Here is an 8,314-nt window from a genome sequence, read left to right on the forward strand (position 1 = left end):
CACATGAAAATGGGCAACCAGCAGCCCTCAGGGCTGCTCTGTGTGTGTAGTAGCCATTCTTTATTCCTTTATTTTCCTAATAAACTTGCTTTTACTTTCCTCTATGGACTCGCCCTGAGTTCCTTCTTGTGCGAGATCCAAGAACCCTCTCTTGGGGTCTGGATTGGGACTTCTTTCCAGTAACACCCTTAGCCTCCATGTTAACAGATTTTGTTCATTTCTAACCTTAAGTGGCACATCAGGGGCATTTCATACCCTCGTGAGGGACTCATGGTTACTCCCTCATTCCCAAACACTCTTTCTTGGTTCTCCTCTTGACTTTCCGGCTGCTCCTTCTTTGTCTTTTTTTGTTAGTTTTTTCCATTATTCATTCATTCATTCCATATTACAGGTATTTAAGGAGCACCTACCTACTCTATGTCAGTACCTCTCTAGGTTCTACGATCCAAAACTCCTGCTGTCACGGAGCTTATAGTCTAGTGAGAAGTGGTGGGGCAGAAACAGCAATACAACAATTAAGAGACTGAATTGTTTGGTGGGGGAGTGCCAAAACCCAGGATGGAATGATATATTTAAGGTGATAATTACTATGAAGAAAAATTAAGGAAGGGCCAGGCGTGGTGGCTCATGCCTGTAATCCCAGCACTTTGGGAGGCTGATGTGAGAGGATTGCTTGAGCTCAGGTGTTCAAGACCAGCCTGGGCAACATATGGAGACCTTGTCTTTACAAAAAGAAAAAGAAAATTAGCCAGGCCTGGTGGCACATGCCTGTGGTCCCAGCTACTTGAGAAGCTGAGATGAGAGGATTGCTTGGGCCTGGGAGGTAGAGGCTGCAGTGGGCCATGATTATGCCATTGCACTCCAGCCTGGGCAACACCGCAAGACCCTGTCTCAAAAAAAAAAAAAAAAAAAAAAAGAAAAGAAAAAAAGAAAGGAGAGGTGGATAATAATGAAAGGGCTGGTATATGTCATTCTAAACTGGATGGTCATGGGAGGCCTCACTGAGAGGTCAGCATGTGAGGAAGGCTATGATGGAGATAATGGGGTGATCCATACAGATGTCTGTGGAAGAACCTTCCCAGCAGAGAAACTAGCAAATGCAAGGCCCTGAGATGGGAATGTGCCTTACACATTGGAGGAACAGTAACAAGGCCATTGTGGCTGAGGCAAAATGATTGCTGGGAGATGAGGCCAGAGAGCATGTGGGATTAGTTTGATTTGATGTAGGTAGAGCCTAGGAAAGGTTTTTTTTCAATTTGTTTAATTTTCTCCTTGCAACAGGAAGCAAGGCATCAGCTATGCATGAGGATGTGGAAGGAGATGTGGAGAGAGAGGAGAAGGTCTAGAAGCCTTCTGAGAGAGTCAGAGTGGGAGAGTGGATGGAAAAACGAGACTGGTATGTTTATCAGGACGTAGAAAGGTCAGATGGCATCTGCAGCTCACAGCCATGGAGTTTACAATGAGATCTGTCAGAAGGGCTGTATGTTTTTCTGTAGTGCCACCCAGCTGTGTGGGTGCAGGCATGGAGTTGGTAGAATTGGACTCAGCCCAGGCTGGGGTTTTGCCAAGTGAGCACCACAGGGTGAGAAAGAGGCACAGGAAGTTGAGACAGATGTAAGGGAGTGACTGTAATGATTGTCCAGGAAATGTGAGCTGGTATGGACGTGAATGGCAAGTTCCAGTGGGCCAAGGGATTGTCGAAGCACAAAAAGAGAATGACTAGAAAAATAGAAGGAGCTGGTTGGAGAAAGTGTGGCTTAAAATTAGGATTGTACAGAGATGGCTCAGGGTCTATTTAGAACTTGCTATGCAATGTGGGAGCCACCAGCAATGTGTAACCTTTGAGCACCTGCAATGGGACTAGCGTGAATTGAGACATGCTGTAAGTGTAAAATACACACCAAATTCCCATGACTTAGTGCCAAAAAAGTAAAATACCTCATTAATAATTTTTAAGGCCTGGCACAGTGGCTCATGCCTGTAATCCCAGCACTTTGGGAGGCTGAGACAGGCGGATCATCTGAGATCAGTAGTTCGAGACCAGCCTCGCCGACATGGTGAAACCTCGTCTCTACTAAAAATACAAAAATTAACCAGGTGTCGTGGTGGGCACCTGTAATCCCACCTACTTGGGAGGCTGAGGCAGGAGAATCGCTTGAACCCGGGAGGCGGAGGTTGCAGTTGAGCCGACATTGTGCCACTGCACTCCAGCCTGGGCAACAAGAGTAAAACTCCATGTCAAAAACATTAAAAAATAATAATAATAAATAAATAAATAAATAATTTTAAAAATAGTGGTTACACCATTAGTGGTTACATGTTTGGGTATATAGGCTTACTCATTTATTTTTTTTCTTTTTATTCATTTATTTTTACTCTTGGCCAGGCACCGTGGCTCACGTCTGTAATGTCAGCACTTTGGGAAGCTGAGGCAGGTGGATCACTTGAGGTCAGGAGTGCCAGACCAGCCTGACCAACATGGTGAAACCCCATCTCTACTAAAAATACAAAAATTAGTCAGGTGTGGTGGTGCGCACCTGTAATCCCAGCTACTCAGGAGGCTGAGGCAGGAGAATCGCTTGAACTGGAAGGCAGAGGTTGTAGTGAGCTGAGATCACACCACTGCACTCCAGCCTGGGTGACAGAGCAAGAGAAAGAAATGAGGGTGTGTGACCCAGGGCAACAGATGACTATATAGGATGTGCAGTAGTTGTGTAGTTTAATCACGTGACATTCAAAACTGGGGGATTTTAGGAAGGAGGGAGGGAGAATTGTCTGGATATAGCAATGAGAGTTCAAAGAGATATCTGTTCCACATTCAGGGCTATGGGGAAAACATTGTCTGCCACCTGGTGGGGGGCGCTGAGGCGGTGTGTCCTCAGGGATGATCCAGGTTAGAATAAGAAGGAGAGAGGATGCTCAAAAAAGAGGAATGCTTGCTGAAAAGGGCCTACATGCTCTGAAGGCACCCTGGACTGGTTTTCAGGAGTTGAGCCAGGGACCAAGGTGTAGCAGGAGCTAGGAATTTAGGGCTTCTTTCCATAAGTGACATTCTGGGGTTAATAAAAGGGACTTAATACAGGACTTAATAAAATTAGCTCTGGTGGTCTCCAGGCGAGCAACTGTGGGCAAGGCACTCCTGCGCTCACAGTGTAGGCAAAGTGGGAGGAGTAAGCATCCTTTCTTTACTGCTGGCAGAGACACAGAGGCCTGGGGAAGAGCAGATGTGCCTTGCATCTGAGTGAGGGTGACTTTTACTCAGAAAGTGCATACCTCCCTCTTCCACCTAACCATAAAATGCTAGAATCCAGCAAAGCCCATATCCTAGCCCTCTCGACTGTTCATGCAATATTTGATAGGTGATTTTTTTTTTCAGCCAATAATGGCTTCAAATTGCTATTTGGAGGTAGATGACTTATAAATGTGGATCTTCAGTATAATTTTCTTTTCTCTGCCTTGGACCTGGATATCCTACTGCCCACTGTGCGCCTACTCATTCTCAGTACGTCCAGAATGAAACACACAATCTCACTCCCAGACCTGTACTTTTCAGTGGAGAGTGCCACGCTCCACATAGGTACCAACCAGAAGCTGGGATGGGCCTGTGATGTCTCTTTCTCCCTTTGTCCCATTCTTTCTGTGGACGAGTTCATGTCCTAAAAAGCTCTCTACTCTATCCACTTTTGTCCATTTCCACAAATCTCCTCCCTTTCACCTCGAGCTCTACCAGAACCTTTTAATTGTCCTTCACACATCTGCATTGGCCTCTCCTGTGACTCTCCACACTGCCCCTAAGGCGACACTTTCAAAATTCCCAAGTCTCTTCACGCCCCTCTTTTCAATCGAAAACTCTGCGGTAGTTCCCCATTGCTCTCAGGATCAAGTTGAAACCCTTTCACATGCTCTGCAACCTCTCTGCACCCACCTGTCCAGCCTTTCCTCACCCTGTACCTCCAGTGAGGAATCTCTGTCTTGACACTCCAGCCACACCTACCTGCCTTGGGGTCTCTAGTGCGCCCACAGCTGTCACAGGGCTTTGCAAACACTTCTCCTTTTGCATGGAATATTCCTCTCCTTCCACTTTGCATACTTAACTTCTGCTTACCGTTCAGATCTCTGCTTGGGCTTCCCTCTCCTGAGCTCCCCAACCAGGTCACATCTCCCATGTACAGGCTCTACCGGATGCATCCTATTCCTTTCTCTTGAGGTTCCTGTAACAGTTGCAGTTTTGCATTTGTCTGTCATTATTTAATTAGTGTTTATCTCCCATAGGAGACCCTCCAAAGGCCTGAACTCACCAAGGGCTGAGATCATGCCTGTCTTTGCTCATTATTATGTCCCCAGCACCTAACAAACTGTCCTGCACATAGTAGGTGCCCAGTAAATGTTTGCTGAATAAATGAATGAATAATTCGTGATGCAATGAAAGTCCTTAAGCTTTACCAAATACAGGGCCTGCCTTGATCTAGAGTGAGCTTTCAATGGTTCTGGAACTCAGTTTCAGTCAGCAAATGTACACAGCAAATGCACTGTGCTGGGCCTGCCCTACTCCACTATTCTTAGGCACACTGGAACAACTTTGCTGGAACCAGGGAGCTAGCTGAATGGCACGACTGTCTTCTGGTAGCATCTCACGCTTGGGTACAAAGGCCTGTCTACTGGCTTGCTCAGGCATGTTGAGAGTCTGAGTCTGCTGTTGGTAGACCTGAATAGGTCCACCTGTTCCCTTTTTCTGAGACAGTGTCCATTGGCTACATGGGTCACATCTCTGGGGGTGGCATAAATAACTACAGACAGGGTGGCAGGAAGGGCAGCCTAAGGAAGCTTGAGCAAGCTCTGAGGGTGACTCAGAAGCACCCACTTCCTGTGTCAGTTCAGCCTAGTGGGTTTCTTTATATGAAGCCCACCTTATTAAAGGAAGTGGAGGTGGGGGAGCAACTAGAGACAACTAGTACTTGTCACCTCAAGCAAGATGGGTTATCTACCTACATTCAACCTCCACTCTCTGCAATGTTTACTCCTGCCAGTGACTTAGTCGGCTATTTTCAGTGACAAACACTCCAGCTTCTAGGCCAGGCTCTCTGATTTTGGCTTCCTCTGGGTGCACAGAGAATGAAGGCAGCTGATGCTCCACTAGCGGCTGCCTCGGTGCCAGCAACCTGGCTGTGCTGCTGTTGGTGCCTTGGGTCTCTTTTCCTGTCTGCCCTTCTCAGCTCCCTTGGTTGCTGACTCCTCGCCATCTGACCATCTGCCTCGCTCTGCCCCTTCCACCCACCACACATTTCTGGCTGCTGATGCTTGCAGTGCCTTTGGGTGCCCATCTGGCCCAGCCCTTGGGATGAGGGGACTCCTGCCTTCTCCTGCTTCTCTGACCTCTGCTCCCTGGATGCCTTATGTAGATTCTGGTTCCCTGGTCCTGGAATCCTCACTGCTGCTTCTGATCCGGTGGGATAATAATGAGGTTACATGGTGAGAAGGCCACCCAGGTATTGTAATTAGTAGCCACACCAAGCCAGCTCTATTGGGTGGGTGATTAGAAAATTTTTTTTTCTAATCTTAACACTTATTATACTAAAACTATCTACTTAAGTATTTTCCCCCCAGATGGAGAGTTTCTTGAGGGCAAGAACTGAGTTTATTTTTCTTTATATCCAGAGTGCCTAGAATATAGAAATTAACTGGTAAATGTTGGCTGAACTGAGGTTGGGAATGGGAGGGAAAGTGTATAGGGGATGATGCTCTGATGTCAGCTTCCTGGGCTGACCCTGAAGAAAGAAGGAAACGTGGGCATTTGTGGTTGTCAGTCCCACCCCTCTCTTGGGGGAGTGGCCCTTGGACAGGGCAGGAGGCTGCTCAACCTTGGCCTTGACTGCAAAGGTCTCTGGGTCTTGCTGTGTGCTTCACCCAGACCTCATCCTGATGCGCGCCCAACCCATCCATGGTTCATCATCCACCGTGTCTGCAGTTCCCTCAGGGAGAGATTCTTTTGTACTGGCATGCAGGCCAGTGGGATGAGAGGGGCAGTAAATCTGGGAGCAAGTGGGAAGCTGCAGGCCGAGTGCACACAGTACTCAGCGCAAGGGAGGTGCTCCAATATCAGGAAAAAGATACAACGGCTCTTTCATTTCTCTCCTTTCTTTTTTCAGATTATAAAGTAATACATGTTCACAGGGACAAAATACAAAAGTATAAAAGCCTTCTGTCCTCCTCAATCTACTCCCTAACATTAACTACTGTTAACAATTCTTTTTTATTTGTTTATTTTTTTGACACACAGTCGCATTCCTCGCCCAGGATGGAGTGCAGTGGCACGATCTCGATCTCGGCTCACTGCAACCTCCACCTCCTGGTTCAAGCAATTCTCGTAGCTGGGATTACAGGCGCACACCACCAACCCGGCTTATGTTTGTATTTTTTCTAGAGACGGGGTTTCTCCATGTTGGCCATGCCTAGTCTTGAACTCCCGGCCTCAAGTGATCCTCCCACCTCAGCCTCCCAAGGTGGTGAGATTACAGGCATGAGCCACTGCGCCTGGCTGTGCTGTTAACAATTCTTGACATCTTCTGGAAATGTGCTATTTTACAAAAGCACGTATACATATAGCTTGCATATACAAAATGTGTGTATGTGTTCACATGCAGATAGATATATAAACAGACAGAATTTGATGGTGTCATGAGACAGAAAGAGAAAATGGTAGCCCACAGGTATAAAGTAGGGGTGTTGGGGTGAAGGCAGACTTGAAAGGGGCTGTTGATGGACCAGGTAGGAGGGCCTGAGGAGAAGTGATGGAATACAAGGATGGAAGCAAGGATGGGGCAGGAGAGTCTTAATATTTGTGTTGCAAAAAAATTTTGCAGTTTAGGAGGTGAGAAATCCAACATCCAGTTAGCCTCAGTTTCCTTAACTAAAAAATGGGATAATGATGTATATTCCTCACAGGTTTATAGTGATGATTAGAAGGGGCGAATATATATATAAACAAACATACATATATGTTTGTTTGTTTTTTGGACAGAGTCTCGATCTGTCACCCAGGCTGGTATGCAGTGGTGCGATTTTGGCTCACTGCAACCTCCGCCTCCCAGGTTCAAGTGATTCTCCCATCTTAGCCTCCTGAGTAGCTGAGACTACAGGCACGTGCCACCACGCCCAGCTAATTTTTGTATTTTTAGTAGAGATGGGGTTTCACTATATCTTGGCCAGGTTGGTCTTGAACTCCTGACCTCAGGTGATCCACCCACCTTGGCCTCCCAAAGTGCTGGGATTACAGGCGTGAGCCACTGTGCCTGGCCAGGGCTAATATATTTAAAGTGCTTAGCATTGCACCTCAAACAATATTCTAAGCATTCTCTCAGCGTGTGCTGCTATTATAGTTGTTGATGTTATTAGGGTGCTGCTATTGTTGCTGTTTTCAGAATGCTTCACGTGGTCCCTGGCCCGTGAGTGAACCTCTATCCATCTGCAGTTGGCATATGGAAAGAACCTCCTGGTCACATTTCTCTTTCCATTTTAGAAATCATTCTTTTGTTGTGACACTGTCTTTTCATTTTCCTTCCCTGACTGCTCTTAACTTCCTACTTTATGCTGTGCACTCTTGAAGAAAACTTTCTGGTACCTGATGGTTATAAATCCTTGGAGGCGCGTGAAGATGTTTTAGGTAGTAAAGGGCAGTGGCCATTTTCTCACTTTGTCTCCCTGGCCTGGTCTTAAGCTGTTGGGCATTCTTTAGTCAGGAACATCTTCTTATTTGCTGTACTTCACACATACTGCCTAAGGATATCAATTAGAATTGCTTACTTAAGAAAAATGCCCAGCAATCGTTAAGGCCACTCTTGTTCATTTCCTGCATTTTTTTTTTTTTTTTTTTTGAGATGGAGTCTCACTCTGTTGCCCAGGCTGGAGTGCAGTGGCGTGATCTTGGCTCACTGCAACTTCCGCCTCCTGGGTTCAAGCGATTCTTCTCCTGCTTCAGCCTCCCCAGTAGCTGGGACTACACGCTCCCGCCACCTCACCAGGCTAATTTTTGTATTTTTAGTAGAGACTGGGTTTCACCACGTTGGTCAGGCTTGTCTCAAACTTCCGACCTCAAGTGATCTGCCTGCCTTGGCCTCCAAAGTGCTGGGATTACAGGCGTGAGCCACTGCGCCCAGCCCATTGTCTTCATTTTAAGAGCACTGACTCTGCTGCTCCTCTTGAGACATCTTGGGCAGTGATTCTGTTCTTCTGGGATACTCTGGGTGTTTCTACTTGTATTTAGAATGGCTGGCTTAAAAGTCTTTGTTTGAATATTCCGCATTCTGAATGCTCTTAG

At 46.6% G+C, this 8,314-nt stretch overlaps 1 protein-coding gene across 1 annotated transcript in view; it reads right to left on the minus strand.

Annotated features, from left to right (window-relative positions):
* FAM131B (family with sequence similarity 131 member B) overlaps positions 1-8,314 on the minus strand; it is a 28,905-nt gene that overhangs the window by 17,321 nt on the left and 3,270 nt on the right. The window lies entirely within an intron of this gene.

This window comes from Homo sapiens, chromosome 7, assembly GCF_000001405.40.
Source record: "Homo sapiens chromosome 7, GRCh38.p14 Primary Assembly".
NCBI classification, from domain to species: domain Eukaryota; kingdom Metazoa; phylum Chordata; class Mammalia; order Primates; family Hominidae; genus Homo; species Homo sapiens.